The sequence below is a fragment of the Homo sapiens genome, chromosome 1, assembly GCF_000001405.40.
Source record: "Homo sapiens chromosome 1, GRCh38.p14 Primary Assembly".
NCBI lineage: Eukaryota > Metazoa > Chordata > Mammalia > Primates > Hominidae > Homo > Homo sapiens.
The window spans coordinates 148,717,354-148,740,055 of NC_000001.11; the positions used below are offsets into that span (position 1 = coordinate 148,717,354).

The 22,702-nt window shown below is 41.9% G+C and overlaps 1 long non-coding RNA gene and 1 pseudogene across 1 annotated transcript; one reads left to right on the top strand and one right to left on the bottom strand.

Annotated features, from left to right (window-relative positions):
- Positions 1 to 14,207: 14,207 nt before the first annotated feature.
- Positions 14,208 to 19,072, bottom strand: LOC105371222 (uncharacterized). Its single transcript, XR_922062.4, has 3 exons — positions 18,390 to 19,072; positions 17,437 to 17,563; positions 14,208 to 16,124 (listed from the first exon to the last, which is right to left on the bottom strand). It is a non-coding gene; the product is annotated as an uncharacterized LOC105371222 (long non-coding RNA).
- On the top strand, positions 22,026 to 22,126 carry RNU6-1171P (RNA, U6 small nuclear 1171, pseudogene; annotated as a pseudogene).

The following is a 22,702-nucleotide window of genomic DNA, read 5'->3' on the forward strand; positions in this document are numbered from 1 at the left end:
GAGAGAACAGTCCAGAACCTCAGAGAAGTGTACATAGGTAGAGACTGAAAGCCAGGTCACTAAGACCCAGAAACAAAGATCTATCCAGACAGGTAAAAAATTCAAGGCAGTCTTGAGAAACAAAGTTCAGAGAGTGAACCAGCAACAGGTTGATGTTTCCAAAGTCAGTGTGTGACTAGCCACCTGTGTTTTTTTATTATTATTATTCCTGAGTTGTGGGTGGGGAATAGGCTGGTTACAGATGCTTCCCTGAGATTAGAGATGCTGTCAGGGAGCAGACCTAACTCTCAACACCAAGGAACATTTCCAAGGTCTGCTCTTCAGCTACTCTGTTATCCCTGACTTTGTTAGACCCTCCCTTTCGTTGTCACTCTCTGCACACTTGGCTTCTGAGACTGTGCTCTTCAAGTCTCCCTCTAGCTGCTCCTTCTCTGTCTTCTCCAAGGGCTCTTTTTCTTCCTGCTCCTTAAGTGTTCATATTCCTTAGGGTCCTGCCCTTGGCCCACTGCTCTTCTCTTTTCTTTCTATCTTTGGTTTCTGGATGTTCTCATTTGCCGTCATGGTTCCAACTGAGACTGTACCTGGCTAAAATGTCAGTTACACAGATTAAACACTTGCATCTTTTTTGCAACTTCCTAGCTGTGAGACCTAGGCTAAATTATATCAACTTTTAGGCTTCCCTCTTTTTTTTTTTTTTTTTTCGAGATGGAGTCTCGCTCTGTCACCCAGGCTGGAGTGCAGTGGCGCAATCTTGGCTCACTGCAACATCCGCCTCCCAAGTTCATGCCATTCTCCTGACTCAGCCTCCCGAGTAGCTGGGACTACAGGTGCCCGCCACCACGCCCGGCTACTTTTTGTATTTTTAGTAGAGACAGGGTTTCACCGTGTTAGCCAGGTTGGTCTCAATCTCCTGACCTCATGATCCGCCGGACTCGGCCTCCCAGAGTGCTGGGATTACAGATGTGGGCCACCGCGCCCGGCCCTAAGCTTCCCTCTTTTAAACTCATCAGCTAAATGAGTATAAATAACATCGACTATATATATATATACCCAGCTTAGATGGTTACATGAAAATTAAATAATACAACATACGCAAATTGTATGAAAATTCTTAGCATAGTGCCTGACACATAGCAAATAGTCAATAAATGCAACCCTAATAGTGATTATTATTATTTACATGGTCTTGCATCTCAGAGCTTTGTTTCCAGCTTAGTACTCTCTCAGGAGCCACACTCGTATATCCAGCTGTCCACTGCATATTTCTACACGGATGTTCCAAAGACACCTTATATTCATTGCATCAAAAATGAAACTTGTTTTGTCTCCTTCTAAACCTCTTTTTCTTCTCTCTTCTCTACCTCACTTGTTGACACTATCATTTATCAGTCACCCAAGCTGGAATCTTAGAAATTATTTTTCATTTCTGTCTTTTCCTTGGCATTGCCACCCAACTCTGCTCCTTGTCAAATTAACCATTAGAATCTGATAATTTTACTTCTTCAACTTTTTCATTTTACATTCTCTCCCCATTTCTTGATAAAAACATCTTTAGAAAGCAATGATTCAAGGCTGAGTCCCTGGCTCTTTAGAAGTTTGTGACTTTGGTGGCAAAAACAGACTCTTATAGCAGATTATCTTATTGTTTAAAATATTTGCTGCCCCTGCCTATGGGGCCTATGGAAGGAATTTGGCCATGGACTTGCATTGACCAATAGAAGGCAAACATATGTCATATATGCTGAGCAGAAACTATTAAGACCCATCATGTGGTTTCATCTTTCTCATTTCCCTTGCTATGATGCTACCATATCCCAAATAGGGCCAGCTCCTTCAGTCTAGATTAAGAATGCAAAAGACATGAAGTAATCAGTGGCCAATTTACGGTGTACATGTAACATGAACAAATACAAATCTATTTTGTTATTAGGATATGGGGATTATCCATTACTGTATCACAACCTGGCTAAAACTGACTGATACAACTCCTTTGAGGATTATAAACACAGTCTTTGAAGCTAATGCATGATGATATGAAAATCAGTGTTGATGATGTGACACGCAGTGTTTTCCAACAAAGTAAGAAAGTTCAGTATGCTGCCAGGCATCACAGATGCGCCACACGTGCATCGGGTACCAAGGGTGTTCTGTTGGTCAAAGTTCTGTTTGACAAAATAAAACTTTTATCATTTTGAAAATGTCATTAGCTACAGGAGTTTTCAAAAGGGGCCAACAAAATTAAACTTTAAAAATCTGTTTGGTGTGTACATAACACACAAAACAAGAGCTGACTGCACTGAAAGATACCAGGGATTCATAGAGTTGTATGCTGAAAGGAAATGGCATTGCTGTGAGTTTATTTATGACCTACTTCAATATATTGGAAGAAATGCCAGCAATTTGGAGGTTGGTAACGTAATTTAACAGAAAAACAGCTTCAATTTTCTAACTCTACCACAAACCCCAAATCAGCCTGGCCATTTCTAGGGCACACATCTGCTTTGCTTGGTAACAATAGCAGCAGCAACAATAAGTAATGACAAATGATCACATATAAGGAACCATGTTAATGTATCACTAGATATTAAACAGGGCATTACTTTACTGGTATATGTGTCCAATTTGAATAAACAAATTAGTATATGTGTCAAATTTGGATCCAGCAGGGCACTTCAAAACTTAAGTAATCATGACTCAACTCTAAATACTCAATTTTAAAGTAGTTTCTAAACTTCAGCATATTGACATTTCGGGCCAGATAATTCTTTTTTGAGGAACTCTTCTGTGTAGGATGTTTAGCAGTATCCCTGGCCTAACCCATTAGATGCCAGTAGCACCCCACATTTGTGACAACCAAAAATGTCTCTAGACATTGCCAAAAGTCCCTTGGGTGACTTCGTGCTCTAAAGCTATGAATCTAGTGGGAAGAAATTAGAAACCAGAATACTACATAGAAAATATTTTTGAGTAGACAGGACTATTGATTCATCTAATTAGTTCAGGTAGTTAGCTGATCATTTTTCTTGTAATTCAAACAAACCCTTCCCCAATTCTTAGTAATAGCTGTTGATTGAGTGCCGATTGTGGACAGTAAACATAATTTGCATAGTCAATATAGCTTGGAGATTAAGCACTCGGCTCTGTAGTCTGGGTTGCAATCCTGGCTCTGCCATCTGCTCTCTGTGTAACCTGGGGTATGTTTCTTTACCTCTCTGCCATTGTTCCTCAACTGTACAATGAAATAATGATAGCATGCATGAAATCACACAGGCATGTTGTGAGAATTTAATAAGTCAATGAACATAAGGTGCTTAGAACCAAGCTTAGGGTATGGAAAACAGAGAATAGATGTTTCTTGTTATTCTTAAACCTTACAACAACCGTTCAAGTTAGGCAGCATTATCTGCATTTTATACATGTGGAAGCAAATATTCAGGGAAATCAAGTCCCAAATACACAACTGCTAAATCATTTGGTTAACAAGAAGAGGAATCAGATTCAAACTCCAAAACTGCTATGTTTCTCACTACACGGCAGGCTTGGGTGGAAAACAGGTTAAACCTGGGAGAAAGAGTCCTCTTTTAGGGATAAAAATTGGGATTGTTCAGCTGGTGTGGTGTGTTTGCATGGGGTAGCACAAAGCCCCCGTGAACATGACTTTTACCACTAACTATCTGTGTGAATTTGGCAAGCGTCTCGAACATCCTGGGGCTGTTTACTCATCTGCAAAATGGACACAAAAACACCTGCTCTGCGATCTTCACGGGTGGTGGTCAGAGTCATGTGAAAAGATGCAGGCAGTAGAGCGCTGTGAAACTCTAAAGTGCTCAGCAAATGTAAGGTAGGCTGGGTGCCCTGGTTCACACCTTTAATCCCAGCACTTTGGGAAGCCGAGGCGGGCGAATCACTTGAGGTCAGGAGTTCCAGATCAGCCAGGCCAACATGGTAAAACCCAATTTCCACTAAAAATACAAAAATTAGCCGGGCGTGGGGGTGCGTGCCTGTAATCCCTACTCGGGAGGCTGAGTCAGGAGAATTGCTTGAACCCGGGAGGCGGAGGTTGCAGTGAGCAGAGTTCGCACCACTGCACTCCAGCCTGGGCGACAGAGAGAAACTCCATCTAAAAAAAAAAAAAAGGTAAGGTGGAAATATAAGCCTGGGCTCTCGGGTAGTCATGTCTAAGACCTTTCAATCCCTTAGTCATGTCTTGCTTCTCCCGCAAAAGCAAGTTTTTCTGTGGCCCCATGTCGCCATCCTGGCCTCAGGAGCAGCTGACCTTGCTGGGGAGGCATCATGTGCAAGTGGGCGGGGATGGGGGCTTCTCCCCTGGTTCCAGGGTGGGCAGACTGGGAGGTGACCCCAACATGGATGTGGCAGCTGCTGCTTATCTGTAGTTAGTCAACGGCCCAGACAGATGAGGTGTCCGTGGTGACCTTCCTGCCTCAGTGAGTGTGGGAACTCGGGGCTTCCCAGGGCGAAGGAGTGGGAACATAAACAAAATGGGCCCTGCCGGAGCTCGGGCATCGCATCCTCCCTCAGCCCTGCCTGAACCTCGGAGGAGGCGCCCAGGAGATCATCCAGGCACCGCTGCCTAGGGCCGCGCAGGGAAGACGGCCAGGGCTCCAGGGTCCGCCTCAGTCACTGTCACCCCGCAACATGATTCTGACTCCCCCAAAGGTGGGTGCTTCCTGCCAAAAGTCCCACCACCGGCACCCTTTGTTGTCAGAGGGCAGAGTCAGAAATATGTCATCCTGGTGGAAACTCTTCCCTCCCTCCCTCTCCCCTCAGCAGACTTAGCCCTGGATTCCATGGACTGCTGCAGGGGTTAGTCTTCTGGAGAGAGCAGGGCCCCTGCATCTCTTTCTGACAAAAGACGGCAGACATAAACAAGGGGAAGTTTGAAAGAAAGAGAAACGGCTAATTCTCAGCAACCTTTCATATGTCTGCGGAAGGCTTGGCATCCATGGCCCAGCCTTCTTCAGGATGAGCACCTATGTCTGCTACTCTTTGCATCAAGTGACTTCTCCATGCCTTTCTTGTGTCTTTTTTCTCGCTCCTTTCCGTTGCCTCCTTTATGTTTTCTCACTGCCTAGCTCTTCCCAATAGCACCACCCCGAGTGGTTCTAGGGCAAAATAGTAAAGCATTTTAAATTTGTTTTCATGACTTCCCACCCTTTTTTCAGTCTCGTTCCTTTCCATCTTTAAGGTGGCCAGCAGCTGCTCCGCACTTGACAAACGTGCTGGACACTGCTGCTGGGGAGACATCAGCCGGCAAGCAAGGGAAAGTTGCAGACTTCTCAGTGCTTACCTCCTAGCTGGGAAGACAAATATTGGACAACTGTTCTCTAAAGGAGGCATGCAGAGTACTGTGAGTGCCTGTCAGTAGGTGCAGACAGGGGCTCAGGGAGAGCATCCTGGAAGAAGAGATGTTTGGGTTGAGCCTGGAAGCGTGAATGTTGGGTGAAGTGTTGGGAAGAGAGGTGAAGACAGAGAATAAGACAGGGGAGAAGGAACACATTCTATGTGAAGGTGCTGAGGGAAGATAGAACATTTGAGGAACCAAAAATGAATTGTACAGCTGCCTGTGGTACATAGCCTGGGCCTCACCCTCTCCCCTGAGCACTTGACAATGCACATAAGGTCCCTAAACACTTCTGCCTACTCACCCACCATAAAACCTGTCATGTTTGCTCTCCCTTTAAGGCTCTGTTTTTTTGCCTTCCATAATTGCGATCTCAACTGATAGTTTCCTAAGACAGATTTGGGGTCTGGAAACAGATTCTTAGCTGAATTCTACTACTTCACTGTGCAAACTTGAGGAAGTGAGGTATATCATCAGTAATATGGGCTAATAACTGTGCTAGTAGTAACATTTCATGATTGTTTACGCTGCATCAGCTTCCAGTGCTAAGCACTTTTGTCTTTTATTGTATGATTCTCACAAATCCTCATAAGGTAGGTAATGCTTTTATCCCTTTCTCCCTTCTCAAAGGATTCTTAGGAAGCCTAGGTGTGACACTAATTATAGATGCACTTTGTAACCATTAAGGGTTAATGCAAAAAATGAAATATTATTGTGATGTTCAATAATAGTACCATGATGTTCAACAAGTACATATTTAACGAATAACTGCACTTGTTGAATGCCATGACAGTTGTGGGCTATAATTAAATGAGTCTCAAAATATTTTGTGTCTGTCTCCTGAACAAACCAAATAAAAAGCAATAGAAGGAATGAAAAACGTTGTCATCACCAATTTGCTAATTGTATGCCATGCCGGACCACAGAAGAGAGAATTCCACAGATGTGACCCTGAGCCTCCAAAGTTTACAGTCTGATGACCACCACTACCTGGAATGCAGATACAGATAACAGAGTGAAAGCTCAGTATCAGTTGATACAACACTGGGTTGTATCAAGCTCATTTCCTACCAAGGGTAAGGATCTTTCAGGAGACCGAATGAGCAGGAAAAAATTCATGAACTTCTTTTAAAATTCAAGGTGGGGGCTGAAGCCAGAAGGTTCTAAGTCTCTTAGTATTCTCCTTAGTACATGTCTCTTCACTTTCTATCACCTTATCACAGCGTTTTTTTCACCCAACCCCAATTCTGGGGAATTATTTATACATGATATATGCACTGTCATAATAATGACATATTCTTAAATTGTCAATTTCTGAAACCACGTATGTGTATCACAAACTAATATGAATGTGTGTGTGTGTGTGTGCGTGCACGCGCATATTTATGTGTGTGTGTATGAGTGGCTTCCTACACTTACACTCCCCTACTTGAAGAGAAGTGGTGCCGGCTCCCCCTGAAATCAGCCAATGTGGGAGGAGTACTGACACCAAAAACAAAGGAAATGAAATAGGATAACTGTGGTTTGAGGCTCACAGGTCAGATGAGAGGCAATGAATGAGAAAGTCAATGAGCTGAAAATGACTTAAGTACAGGCACCTCCTAGGAATTATACCCCTAATAAATGATTGTATTGAACATTTGTTTAAACTGATGTAAAGTACTTTGAAGGTTAACATCCTTTCCCTCCCTCACAATATTAAGTAGTGTAGCTTGGAGGTTGAAAGCAGATTCTGGGTTCAAATCCAGGTTCTGTCAGATTCTACCACTTACCAGCTAAATGACGTTGGACAAGTCACAATATCTCTAAGCCCTTATTTCTTTACTTGTAATGTGGGAGTACAATCTGCCCCATGAAGCTCTTAAAAGGATACAGAAAAATAAAATGTGACAAACGTCTTGCATTCAATGTATAGCAAATGACTACTTGATGGTATTTTATAGGTGACAAAATAGATGCCCAGAGAAGTTAATCTCCTTTCTTGGGTCCCCCCGAGTGTTAACAGCAGTGCAGGGAAGCAGTCAAGCATCCTGTCTCTGGCCCATGGCTTTTTTATCCATGTGGAGCACCAGTCCCACACAGAAATCATGTTTAGGCTACAAGTGATTTTTCATATATATCTTCTTTAATTTGCATTTGTCTGCCAAATCCACACATTAGCAAGCTCAAAACTCCAATGGAAAGGCGTATATAGGATCTTCTGGAAAATTAGATCTGGAATGACCCTAGCAGACCCAAAGAACTATGTGTGAGAAAAAACACAATACCCTGTTACACCCTCTTCAACTGTGGGCAGGTAGATTATTTACTTTGTGGGTTGATGTAACACAATTTTTAATCCCATGTTGGCTACGCTCTGCCACTTCCCCCCACCGTTAGTGGGTGTGTGCTCAGGCAGTGTAAACTCAGGAAGGTAATGCAAAACCAGGAAAGTAAATCTGCTTCTTATACCTCTCACCCCACATCAGCCTCCTCCTCTCTTTTTACTTCATTCTCTTCAGCTTTAAAAAAACAGAGGTAAATGTATTTTCAGTTGTCTTTGGCACAGCCCTGTTTTGGAAATCATAGACAGCCAGCTGGACCAGGAGTCAGGAAGCCAGGGGCTTTCATCTGGATCTGACATTGGTTAACTGTGGGCCTTCAGGAAAGTTAGATCAGTCCTCCAGGCTTTTGTTCCTTTTCTGTACAATGAAAAGAAGACTAGAGTATTTATGAAGTGCTCACTGTGCACCATGTGACTTCAATTGTATTACTTTATTTAATCCATAAGAGAAAGAACTCTACTAGCTAGGAATATAGATCTGTAGTATTCAAATTTAAAAATACTCAAGTTGCCCAAGGCCACAGAGGTGGCAAAGAGGAAGCTGAGTTGGAATTTGAACCTAGGACCATCAGATTCCAAATTTTATGCTTGAATGAGTTATCCAGTACAATCTATAATTTTCTTTTCTGTTCTAATATTATGCTGTTATGTGAGCACTATTCATCAATATTTAGTTGGCTTAGTTTATTACAGTGAGTCATTCTTCCATGCCTTGGGGTCTTACTCTATATAGGCAGAAGCCCTGACTAAATTTACTACATCCCTTATTTAGTCAGCTAATACATTAGTTGTACACTCTGATATTGTAAGTAGTGGTTTTATTGCCATTAGTGAAAATTAGTGAGCCACCAGGTGTGGTGGCTCACATCTGTAATCCCAGAACTATGTGAGGCCGAGGCAGGAGGATCAGTTGAGCCAAGAGTTCGAGACCATCCTGGGCAACATGGTAAGACCCCCATCTCTACAAAAAAATACAGAAATTAGCTGGATGTGGTGGTGCATGCTTGTAGTCCCAGCTACTTGGGAGGCTGAGGTGGGAGCATCACTTGAGCCCAGCAGACTGAGGTTGCAGTGAGCCAAGATCCATGCCACTGCACTCTGGCCTGAGTGACAGTGCCAGACCCTGCCTTAAAATACATACAAACATACATATATACATAAAGTAATGCTTGCCTTCATCTGATATGCTTCTTCCAATAAGAAAAAACTTTTCTTGGAAACTCTTCCCCTATCCTTCTTTGGAAACTTTATATAATTGACTTTACCTTCTATTATTTAGATTGTTTATTGACAAACCAAAATTATTTGATGTATATGTCTAACCCATATAGAATCAGGGCATAATATGAAGGGTACTTGGTTCCTGCAAGGGTGTTTGCACAGGAATACTGGACATGAGACTACCAGCTATTCAGCATTACAGTGGAGATTTGTCCTCTTATTGTCAGGTGCCTCTCAAGTTGGACTCACATAAGAACTAAATATGTCTCAGCTATAACTTCACTACGTAATGGTTGGAAGAGGAGTGCACTGGAGTGCACCCCACTCTGTGGAGGAGAGTCAGGAATACTTAATATTTCTTCTGTAGTCAACCAGGTATATCATTGAGCCTAATTCTTCACATTGCAGTTATATTCTCTAAAAGTAAATATGATGCTTATTTTAGTTGCTATTGCATCCTTAGGCTAGCCCAGTGCCTAGCACATAGTAGGTGCTCAATAAATATGTGTTAAGGCCGGGCGCAGTGGCTCACGCCTATAGTCCCAGCACTTTCACACGAGGTCAGGAGATTGAGACCATCTTGGCTAACGCGGTGAAACCCCATCTCTACTAAAAATACAAAAAAATTAGTTGGGCATGGTGGCGGGTGCCTGTAGTCCCAGCTACTGGGGAGGCTGAGGCAGGAGAATGGCGTGAACCCAGGGGAGGCGAAGCTTGCAGTGAGCCGAGATCGCGCCACTGCACTCCAGCCTGGGCGACAGAGCGAGACTCCGTCTCAAATAAAGAAATAAATAAATATGTGTTAAATAAATGAACAGGACAAGACAAACCAATAGGGAAGATAACTAGGAGCACCTGGACCTGGGTTAAATGTTGGTTAGCAATTTCAATCTGCCTAAATCTTGTGATATGAGCTCCTTAAGAGCAATGACTCTTTTACTCATCTTTGTATTCCCTAGGATTTAGCCTTCATAATAGGGGCTCAAAAATTTCCATGGGATTAAATCATCTTATAGTAAAATTATTTTAGAAGATAACATAGTGGAGGGATGCAAGAAATTCAAGTGATTTGAGAGTGATAATGATAAGGACGATAACAATCACATAATCATACAAGGTAACAGTGGAAGACAAGAGTGCTCTTCGAAAGGAGTGACGCTGTTGTTGGTGAAACTGGATCAGAAGTTGTCCAGGTAGGGGTTGTGATGTCCTCTTTCTGCTGTTTCCGTGAGTGCCAAAAGTAGAGTCAATTTATATTGATACTTTAGAGAAAGTGATTCCCTAACATTCCTCTCAGTTTTGCCCTCATCATCCCCTAATAGCCCTAAGGCCAAAATACCATAGTTATCACTGATCAGTTGTTGATTTTCCCCTCTGTTCTCATACAGAGTCACTTCCTTGGTACATGAGACCTAGGATGAATTCCAACATCTTCCCTTCCTGGACCCAGTACTGCATCCCTCTTTCTCTCCAATGTCAACATCTCTCCAAAGGGTAGAAGGCATTTTCACTGCACCCAGGACTCCTTTCACTGCCCCATCCTCTTAAAGACAGCCATGCTCAGTGATCCCAAGCTGATTTTCTGTTATATACTGTGATGCCATAACTGATTACTTCTTCTATTAAAGAAAATAAAGATATACATTTTAATTTTAGTGAAACATCCCCTGTGGTTAAGAGGACATCCTGTTATATAAGAAGCCCAGGAGTGGGAGAACAGAGGATTGAGTGACGCTTCATAGATTTCTGGTTGTAGGGTCAACTTAGAGACTGACTCAAAATTGACGTAAATAGGAAAACAGTAATGGCTTTGAGGGGGAATGAGTAAGCTGGTTTAAAGTCTACAGGGAGCAATATCCTACATAGATGAATAAGACAAACAAGAAATATTCTTGAATGGAGCAAGAATGTGGGAAACATTTAAATGAGAAAACAGAGATGAAATAAAGAAATGCAGAGAGCTTTGAAGTCCACATAGAAGACTTTAGAAGATAGTAATAACTAACATTATCCACCCAGCACTCATCTAAGCTCTTTAGATATATCACTTTATGTAATCTTCACAAGTCTATGAGGTAGATACTAGTATTTTTCCCATTTAACAGATTAGGAAACCAAGGCACAAAATGATGGAGTGCCTTACCCAAAGCCACATAGCAACTAAGTGGTGAAGACAGTTGAAATTTGAAGCATAATCTCTATTCTATACTAGCATTCATTTGTCACTAACTGTGCTAGACAGTATGCTGAATCTGGCCCTAGGAATCTTAAAGAGCTATGTGTAAGAGAAAAAATATTTTTTCTACCCCTTCAATTGTCAACACATAGATTATTTACTCTGTGAATTGATGGAACACAATCTTTAATCCATGGGGTTTTTTTGTTTTGTTTTTTCGAGATGGAGTTTTGCTCTGTTGCCCAGGCTGGAGTGCAGTGGTGCAATCTCAGCTCACTGCAACCTCCGCCTCCTGGGTTCAAGTGATTCTTGTGCCTCAGTTTCCCAAGTAGCTGGAATTACAGGTGGATGCCCCAGTAATTTTTGTGTTTTCAGGAGAGACGGGGTTTCACCATGTTGGCCAGGCTCATCTGGAACTCCTAACCTCAAGATATCCACCTGCCTCGGCCTCCCAAAGTGCTGGGATTACAGGCATGAGCCATCGCGCCCGGCCAATTCTATGTTTTTTATACACATTCTTCTCATAAAGTGTGCGCATCTATACACTGTAAGTGTGTGTATGTTGTGGTATTTATATAATCAAATACAATTTACCACCATTGTTCAAGATCGCAAGATCGTGCTTCATTCTTATCTCTACTTTTTAGCATGGTTTCCATTAGCTATTCCTGAGAGGAAATTCACAGTCCTTGCATTTTACAGATGGTGAAAGTGGTTTAGAGGAGGTCAATGGCTTAAGCAAGGTCACAGATCAAGTTTTAGCAACATTTGGCTTAAATCGGGATCAATAACCTCTGACTGTCCAGCCTGATCCTTACAGGGTCTGCCTGTCCTGGGGCCTGGGCCACGTTCCAAATTGGGTCATCTGGTGCATGCTGCCTGTCTGAAATTCCCCTTGTGGTTTTGCTCACATCTGGTGTTTTTCACTTCTCTTTCTAAACACGTGCTTTGATCCTATTGCTGCTACAGCAGAAAGATGTCCATGGTTCCAAGGAGCATAGCTAATTTAGTGAGAGGTGAAAGATACTCCTCTCAACAGGACTTCTAAAAATAAACAGTATCATAGCCTCACAATGTCATGCTTGAAGCACTTCCCATAAAACCCCCAATTTAGTAACTTCTACAGTATCTCTCTACAGCCCCCAAACCTCTAACATGCCTGGACTTCTAGCCCCTCTTCTCAAATCCTCAACACATTTGAAGTCTTCCTCATGTTGTTCTTCCTTTTAGTCACTCTTGAAGTAGACTGCAAGGGTGACAAATGGTTAAATGCTTTCCATAAGAGCTCTGTAGTCGTGTTTCTCCATCAGCTCACACACACTAAGCTGGGAGCTACGTATATTTACTTCCATAAAACCTTATCTACAAGCTTTCCTGTTTTATTTATTTTAGCAAACTTTGTTCCTCATTTCTGCCCCTACTTTATTTTAGTAAGTCTGTTTCTTAATTATAAAAGTATTTTCTTATTACCTTAAAATTTTTAGGTAAATAGAGAAGAATTTAAAAAATCCACAATTCCAGCACTTTACCATAGTCATTATTCATTTTTTGCTCTGTTTTCTTCCAGTTTTATTTTTCTCGTATGTGTGTATGTCTTTTTGATTGTCTATTTGCTCAGTCTTTTTTTCAAATAGAATCATAATTTACATGCAATTTTTGTGTCCCCTTCTTTCACTATTTAATATTATAAATGTTTCCCATGTTGCTACATAATCTTGCAGATAAAAAATTAGGAATGAAAATAGATATAGATTTTAACAAAGTAAATGGGAAAGGCCTTCACTGACCTCCCATAAAGCAATAGATTGTGAATATCATTTGCAGGACCCATTTCTTCTCTGAGTTGCTGGGATTTGGAATTAAGATAAAGAAGACATAAGTGAGTAGAAAGAGGCAAAACAGCCCAATGTTTTTGGAGACCAAAGATTAATATGAAGTCACAGATGGCTAAATTTAAGATTCAAGAGAATTAACCTGCCCTACTGAGTATGTCAGAGTCAAGGATACCCAAACAGTCCCCAGAAAAGAACAACTTATCACAGATAAGGCCAGAAGGAGGGCTGTTTGGGAAACATTCCTCCTGGGGAAAGAACACCTTCCCATGGGCTGTGGAAAATGATAAGTAAGTTACATTGTCCACTCCCATTTCCAGAGGGGTTTCAGAGAAGAAATGAGGAGGCAAGGCATTCTTCCTGTAGGAGGGGATTGTTGGGCTTCTTGGCTATGCTTTCTATTCTCTTGGTTCCTTTTTCCTTTTCAGTTGCCCCATTGGACCCCAACCCAAACTAAGAAATGTTACCCCAATGGGTTAAGTTGTCCTTACATAGCCAACATTCTTCAATCAAACTTTCACCCTCTCTTACCTTTCTTTGCTGACCTTCCCAAACCCAAGACATCCAGCTAGCTCCCCTGTGCCATCTCATCTCTGCACACCCACCCTTACCACACAGGGAGGCCAGTGCTGAGCAGCATCCGCATGCCTGCTTAGCAGCAACACTGAAGCCTGATGATGAATAGAGGTACAGAGGTCTGTCCAGGTTTACTTCTTTGGAGCTGCTCTCCCTATTCTAGGAAGACCCACTGACCTATTATTTGTGTCAGGCACTTTATTCCTCACAACAATGCTGGAAGATTGGTATAACTATTCTCAAATTACAGATGAGGAAACTGAGGTCTGGGGATCTGTCTGTGTCGGAGATCCCCAACCCCCGGGGCATGGACAGGTACTAGTCCATGGCCTGTTAAGAACCAGGCCATATACCCCCTGAACTCCACCTCCTGGTCAGATCTGTGGAAGCATTAGATTCTCATAGGAGCACAAACCCTATTGTGAAGTGTGCATGGAAGGGATCTAGGATGCATGCTCCTTATGAGAATCTAATGCCTGATGATCTGCAGTGGAACAGTTTCATCCTGAAACCATCCCCACTGCTGCCCCACCTGTGGAAAAAATAGTCTTCCACAAAACAGGTCCCTGGTACCAAAAAGGTTGGGGACCGCTGGTCTAGGTAATAATGCATAATATTGTAGAGAGGTAAGATAACTGAGAAAATACCCAAAGGTGCAGAGAAAAGTACAAAGCAAAATTACTCAGCATCCATTATCCCCAAAGAAGTATTGATAACTTTTAAAATATATTGCCTTTCATTGTTTCTATGTGTTCATCTATGTATATGTGTATGTGCGTATGCAAGATGATAACCCGTAATACATGAGTTTATTTTGCTTTACAAGATCAGGATTCTGTTATTTCTATGAGCTTGCTAGCACTTCCATAACAAGGTACCACAACTGAGTGGCTTAAGTAACAGCAATTTGCTGTCTCACGGTTCTGGAGGTTAGAAGTCTGAGATCAAGGTGTTGGCAAATTGGTTCTTAGTGAGGACTGTGAGAAAGAATATGTCCCAGGCCTCTCTCCTGTCTTCTGCTGTTTTTCTGGAAGTCTTTGGTGTTTCTCAGCTTCTGCTGCATCACCCCAGTCTCTGCCTTCCTCTCCACATGGCAGTATCCTTGGTGCATGTCTGTCTCTCCACATGGCATTCTTTTAATAAGGATAATAGTCATTTTGAATTAAGTTCCCTCCTACTTCATTATGACCTCATCTTAACTTGATTGATTATACCTACAACAACCTTATTTCCAAATAAGGTCACCTTCCGAGGTAACGGGGGTTAGGACTCCAACATATCAATTTTGGGAGGACACAATTCAACCCATAACAACTATTTGTACGATATTGCATCTTATTTTTTTTCTACTTACCATTCTATGTTGACATTTTTGTGAGGGGAAAGGGCTGGCACATGCATATGTGGGCAGGGAGAGAAGGCCCAAGGGGAGCAGCACAGTGGGGAGCAACCCACAGCCTTGGGGAAGGCACGGCAGGAGAAGAGCATGGAGAAAGGGGCAGGGGAGCTGTCAGAGCATTGACCATCACCGTGGTTTTCCTGGTTCACAGGCTTCCTGAGGGCTCCTCAGAAACATGTGTTAGAAAAGAAAAGCTTTCCGGTCTGTCCAGTCTCCTCCATGACCACAGTTTCTCACCCACATACCATTGTCTGGCTTGGAATGGATCCTGGAAGGAGGACTCAAGAGAAACCATAGAAACAGACAACAGGAAGTAAGTGTGAGGGAAGTTTTGGACGGTGAAAGTATTAGATTTGTCAACTGGGAAGCAGTATAATATTATAATTAAGCCCTACATAGAGTCAAACAAATGTTTTCATATCCTACCTCTGACACTCATTTTTAAAATATTTTATTTTTTGGAGCAGTTTTAGATTCACAGCAAAATTGAGCAGAAAGAATAGAAATTTCTCATATACTCCCTGTCCCCACACATGCAAAGGCCCTCTCCATTATCAACATCCCCACACAGAGTGGTACATTTTTTACAGCTGATGAACCTACATCAACCCATCATCACCATCCAAGTCCGTAGTGTCAATTAGGATTCACTCTTGGCATCGTGCATTCTATGGGTTTGGACAAATGTATGACACGTATCCACTATTATATATCATACAGAGTATTTTCGTTCCTCAAAATCCTCTGTGCTCTGCCTCTTCATCCCTCCCGAGGACAACCCCCAGCAACTATTGACCTTTCTACTGTCTCTATAGTTCTGCTGTTTCCAGAATGTCACATAGTTGGAATCATACAGTATGAAGGCTTTTTAGATTAGCTTCTTTAACTTAATAATCTGCAGTTAAGGTTCCTCTACATCTTTTCACGTCGTGATAGCTACATTCATTTTTCTGTGAGATTTTGGGCATATTGGTCTGTCTCTGTAAGCTTCCATTTCCTCATCTGATAGTAGTACCTATGCATAGGGTTGTGGTAAGAATAAAAACGAGGTGATATATGTAAAGTACTTGCCATAGCGCCTGGCAGGAAGAAGTACTTACTGTAGTGCCTGGCACTTCGTTCACTCATTTATTCAACCAATATTTGTTGTCTGCTGCTTCAAGGTCTGTGTTGAATGCTAAGGATACAGTGTTAAACAAAACTGACATGGTTCCTGTCCTCATGGAAATTACACTCTGGAGAGAAAGGTAGAGATTTAAGCAAATAAACACACAAGTAGTCTTTCATTTTAAACCATATAATAATTTGATAAAAAAACTATTTCTAAAATAGAAAAAATGGGGAAACAGATTTAATTTGGAGGGGTGGGGAGGGGATGCACTTAGGGAGAGCCACTCTGAGGAAGTAATATGAAGCTGAGACCTGAAAGTTGATTTGGAAATAGCCAGATGAAGCGCTTTGGGTGTGGGGGAACATGGGGAAGAGTGTCCCAGGTAGAGAGAGCAGGTCCTAAGGTAATAAAGAGCTCATTGGCCCATTAGAGGAACTGAAACATCAGTGTGACTGGAGTGAAATGAACAAGGGGGAACAGGGTGCATATGAGTTTGGAGACATAGGCAGATCCCAGATATTGCAGGGAGTCATGGGATCTCATTGGATGCCTATTCTTAAGAGAATGAGCGGGACAGAAGACTCAAAGGAAGAATAATAAGGGAGGAGAGAAAACCAAAAGAGAGGAATAACACAGAATAAGGGGGCTAGAGGGTGGGTGGGTGAGAGAGACAGAGAGAAGAGAGAGAGACAGAGCAACAGAGAGAGACACAGTGAGACATTTTGAAAGTCAAAAACAGAGAGGTTGAGGAGGATGAGGGCTAAGCAGGACCGAAATTTAGCAAGTAAGAAGTCCTTTGAGACCTCTGAGACAGCAGGTTCAGTGCAACGGTCAAAGTGAAAGCTAGATTACAAGGAGTTAAGAAGTAGTATGTGGTGAGGAAGTAAAGGAAGAAAAGGAAGTTAGCGTATTTTTTTAGAAGTATTATGATGAAGGAAAAGAGAAAGTTTGGGTGATAGCTTAAGTGAGAATTCCTTCTTTATTTTTATTTTAGATTGGAACTTTTTGGGCATTTTTCTAGGCTGAGGAGAAGGATCTAGTAGGTAAAGATTGAAGGCAGGAAGAGAAAGGAGAACTGATTCTGCCTTCAGGAGGCCTCATTCCTGTAGTTATTTTGCCTGCAATCAGAAAGTAACAGACTCTGGTATCATGATCGGGCCAGAGACCTAAACGATGTGCAATTTCAGTCATAGATACGGTTAATTAAAAGACTGTACAAAGTACTCCCATGGTTTTTAAAATTAAAACTATAAATCAATATAGTAATATTTTTAATTTCTGTATTTTAAAACAACTGGCTTTTAAAGAATTTAAAGAAATTCATACTAGACATAATTAAGAATGTATTCTACTTGCACTCAAGTGCTGTTACTAGCTCCCTTAATATAATCCTGGTCTCATTTTTGCATTTGATAGAATCCTTTCTTTGTACTTACCCTGGACCATTTATTTAGGCCAAAGCCCTCTTAGGGTAGCCCCAGATTTCAGGTCAGTTTGGCATCAATGGCTCTTTCAAAGGAATTTCAGTTTTGATTTCCCAGTTGCTCATAGCTTTTCTTCTGACTGAAGAAGATGGAAAAGACATTGACCCTGCTGGGTTGATGGACTCATGGAACAAGCAAGTTTCATTTTGCCTGCCCAGTTTTCTTATCAGCTAGGAATGAGGTACATTTTCCATCTCACCTCCTCCCTTTTTCATACAGCAAAGGAAAAAAATTACTGAGTTTTATTTAGTTTTTTTAAACATCAAAGTTAAATATGCACATAGTTTAAAGAATCGAATATTTCTAAATTACTAATTACAAGAAACAGCATTCCCCTACTCCACCCCTTCATTTCCCACTCCTCAGAGGAAATCACTTTCAATGCTTTCACTAAATCTTTTTTTAGGGGGAGGAGGGAAATCATTGTATCTCTAAATAGCTACCTCTTAGTTTTCTCTATTGACTTTCCACTGTGGAAGATGGGGATTCAGTTTTCGCCTCTTCCTATACCACATGGGCCTATATTTCTACGTCACTATTAAACTGACACTCAGTGTTTATATTACTATGATCAAATAAATACTATTCACACCTGTGTTGCATAATAAATTATGATCACTTTCTTCAAAACTATTTTGCTTTCTCTGGAGTTAATAATTGTCTCATTTTTCATTTGCCTAGTTTTTCTATGCATATGCCACTAATTTAATCCATACTCCTCTGTAGTTGTTTAAGTCTCCTCTCAATATGTCCAAACAAACTTGGTATTCCATCAGTTTCATCTGGAAGAGAGCTCTTCCAGAGCCTACTGATCTGCTCCTCTCTGGGCTAACTGACCTCTAGGCCTGCTGTGCATCTGTCATCTTGGGACTTCCCTTTACCCACATCCTGGGGACTCTCTTCACCTCTGTGTTGAGTGCTCTGGTTCCTGAATTCCGCCTCTTCCTCTTTCTTGACTCACAACACTGTTTTGGTGGAGCACATTCTTCAGTAGTTTCCTAAGAGAGAGTGCAGGGAAGATATAACATTTGCCATCAGTGCCCTGCCCAAATTCTCTTGGCACTTAACATCCAGGCCTTCAAAACTGCCAGCACATATGTCTGTTTGCCTGAGGGCTTTTTCTAGCTACTGAAAGTTTGCTCAGGAAGTGCTGGGGAATTAACCCCCTTTTCCCTGGGAGAGACCCTTAACCAATGACTGATGAGAGTTAGTAGATAAATATCCCAGCTTGCTCAACCATGAGGCGGTTTAACCCTGAAGCATGCTTTCTACACAGGTCTCCCAGAGTTCCCCGATGGAGTCAAGTTCCACTGGTTCACAGTAACTTGCAAGATATATTAACTTCCGGCCGGGCGCGGTGGCTCACGCCTGTAATCCCAGCACTTTGGGAGGCCGAGGCGGGCGGATCACGAGGTCAGGAGATCGAGACCATCCTGGCTAAAACGGTGAAACCCCGTCTCTACTAAAAATACAAAAAATTAGCCGGGCGTAGTGGCGGGCGCCTGTAGTCCCAGCTACTTGGGAGGCTGAGGCAGGAGAATGGCGTGAACCCGGGAGGCGGAGCTTGCAGTGAGCCGAGATCCCGCCACTGCACTCCAGCCTGGGCGACAGAGCGAGACTCCGTCTCAAAAAAAAAAAAAAAAAAAAAAAAAAAAAAAAGATATATTAACTTCCGTAGGATCCTTTTCTCGTTACTTTACTCCCGTACAGATGTTTACTGGGGTCATCTCCCAAATAAACTAATTTTGCTCTTATATTTTTTCTTTTCTTTTCTTTTTTTTTTTTTTTGAGACGGAGTCTCGCTCTGTCGCCCAGGCTGGAGTGCAGTGGCGCGATCTCGGCTCACTGCAAGCTCCGCCTCCCGGGTTCACGCCATTCTCCTGCCTCAGCCTCCCGAGTAGCTGGGACTACAGGCGCCCGCTACCACGCCCGGCTAATTTTTTGTATTTTTAGTAGAGACGGGGTTTCACCGTGTTAGCCAGGATGGTCTCGATCTCCTGACCTCGTGATCCGCCCGCCTCGGCCTCCCAAAGTGCTGGGATTACAGGCGTGAGCCACCGCGCCCGGCCATATTTTTTATTTTCTATCTGTTATCTTTCTGCTTTCCCTTCTACTTTCCAAATCTACTAAGCTTTTTTATATTTTTGCTATCATATTTAAATTTCTAAGTTTTTTTTGTTCTCTGAATGTTCCTTTTAAAACATAGCATTCTGTTCTTATTTCATATATGCACTAGTTCTCTTATTTCTCTGGAGATATTATTAATACTTCTTGTTTTCTTTTTCTTTCAGAGATGCTGTCATTTCTGAGTTATCTTTGGAGCATTTCTCTCCAGTGTGTCAGGGTTTCAGAGAAGGCTTTCCTAATATTCAGGCTGGCTGTCAGGGTTTCCTAAGTAAGAGAAGATGGCAGAAGGCAATGGGCTTATAATCTCCTGTTTTTTCCCAGCATGTTGTCCTTTCACACAATAGTGCCTTGTCCCTTCTCTGTCTTACTCTCCCACCAGAAAAACCTCCATTCTTGGACATCGTGGGGAAGGGGCAATCCATCTAACAGCAAGAGGAAGAGGGGGCCTGGAGCTTTCATTGTTTCCTGAACTGATTTTCAATGCAACTTACTGTTTTTAGCCACAACTTCACCCTTATTTCCAAAAGTACCTGGTGCCACCAATTGCTGAGCATTTGGGGGATTCTGAAATGTAAAGTGAGTTGCTTTACCTTTCTCATCTGCAGGCTTAGGATTCAGCTTTCTCAGGTCTCTTGATTCAGTTACCACTCATTCATCTATGTTCTAGCTTTTATTTGTTTATTTATTTATTTTTTGAGACGCAGTCTCACTCTGTCACCCAGGCTGGAGTACAGTGGTGCAATCTCGGCTAACTGCAACCCCCACCCCCGACCTTCCCGGTTCAAGTGATTCTCCTGCCTCAGCCTCCCAAGTAGCTGAGACTACAGGCACCCGCCACCATGCCCGGCTAATTTTTGTTTTTTTAGTTGAGATGGGTTTTTACCATGTTGGCCAGGCTGGTCTTGAACTCCTGACCTCAAGTGATCCACCTGCCTCAGCCTCCCAAAGTGCTGGGATTATAGGCGTGAGCCATTGTGCCCGGCCTTATGTTCCAGCTTTTAAAATTATCTTTCTTACTCTTGTCCTTTTTATATTCTTTTGTCCTTGTAGGTTTCTCCTTAAAAAAAACTCACCAAAATTCTTACTTGCTTACATATGCATAAAGAAACTCTGGAAACACGCATAAGAAAGCATAACAGTCCTTATTTCTGGACAGGGAGAAAGTGGAAACTGAGCTGATGGGAGACATAGATGAGGGAAACGTTTCAGGCTGTGCATCTTTGTATTTTTCTGGTTTTAAAACCATGTGAATGTATCACTTAATCAAAACATTAAATTTTGGTTGAGTTCTAGGAGGGAGTGGAGCATGTGTTTAATCTGCTGTCTTTAACCAGAAGTCTCAAGTATTGTTTTTCTAAATTAGCAGCTTCAATGTTGAAACCATGAGAAGCTACCCAGCCAAAAGCCATTCCAAACAAATCCAGAGCCATAAGCAAAAATATAGACAAATTTGGCTTTGTGAAAATTAAAGATTTATGCAAAGCAAAAACCAAAAATCAGATCAAATTTAAAAAGATCAGAAAACCAAAAACAAATTGGGAAAAAATTTTGCAACAAGTATGACAAAAGGCAAATTTACTTTAAAATATGGAATTTTGACCAGGTGTAGTGGCTCACACTTGTCATCCTAGCACTTTAAAAGGCTGAGGCAGGGCTGGGTGCTGTGGGGGGCCGAGGCAGGCAGATCACTTGAGGTCAGGAGTTCAAGACCAGTCTGGCCAACATGGTGAAACCCCATCTCTACGAAAAATACAAAACAATTAGCCGGGAGTGGTAGCACATGCCTGTAATCCCAGCTACTTGGGAGACCGAGGCAGGAGAATCACTCGAACCTGGGAGGCGAAGGTTGAAGTGAGCTGAGATTGCGCCACTGCACTCCAGCCCAGGCAACAGAGTGAGACTTTGTCTCAAAAAAAAAAAAAAAAAAAGGCCAAGTCAGGAGGGTGCCAGACTGCAACTCCAGTCTGGGTGACAAAGCAAGAACCTATTTCAAAAAAAAAAAAAAAAAAGATGAAGTTTTTACAAAGCAATTAAACACAGATAAAAATCCAATAGAAAACAACAGGCAAAGGACATGAATATACTACACAGGTGAATACTTACAAATGGCTTTTAAATACATGAAAAATGTTCAACCTCACTCATAAATTAAAGAATGAAAATCAGAACAATGAGAAAATCAGTTTTCACCTATTAGAACAGCAAAATTATAAAATCTGATAATATACACTGGTGACGTAAAGATTTGGTGGGGGGGAGTCTAAAATATTTTTAGTAGGATTAAAAATTGTTACTAAATTTGCAGTGCATTTTGGTGCTATCTATCAAAATGTTAAAGTTACATTTACCTTTTGACGCTGCAACTTCCCTATCAGACATGTATCTGCTTGCACTGGGCATTAAGACATATTTACTTGCTCACTTCAGCTGCACATATGCTAAAATTGGAAGGATACAGAGAAGATTGTCATGGCCCCTGCACAAGGATGACATGCATGAAGCATTCCATATTTTTTTAAAAATACATATTTACAACGATATTCACTGCAGCATTATTTGTAGTCACAAAAACTGTAAGCAACCCAACTGCTTACAGGAGGAAATTGGCTACATAAATTACAGTATATTCATTCAGAGGGATATTAAGCAGCCAATAAAAAGAATGAGGCAGGCCAGGCACAGTCACTCACACTTGTAATCCCAGCACTTTGAGAGACCAAGATGGGAAGATCAGTTGAGGCCAGGAGTTCGAGACCAGCCCGGGCAACATGGCAAGGCCTGACTCTACAAAAAATAAAAAATTAGCGAGGAGTGGTGGCACGTACCTGTTGTCCCAACTACTTGGGAGGCTGAAGCAGGAGGATCCCCTGAGCTCAGGAGTTAGAGGTTGCAGTGAGCTATAATCACACCACAGCACTCTAGCGTGGGAGACAGAGCAAGACCTGTCTCTAAAAATAAAAATAAGAAAAAGAATGAGGCAGCTTTATATTTATGGAATTATCTCTAACATGTAGTCTTAAGGTTACAAGCAAATTATGGAACAGTGTATATGGAGTGATCCTATTTGAGTGATTTTTAAGTAACTTTTCTT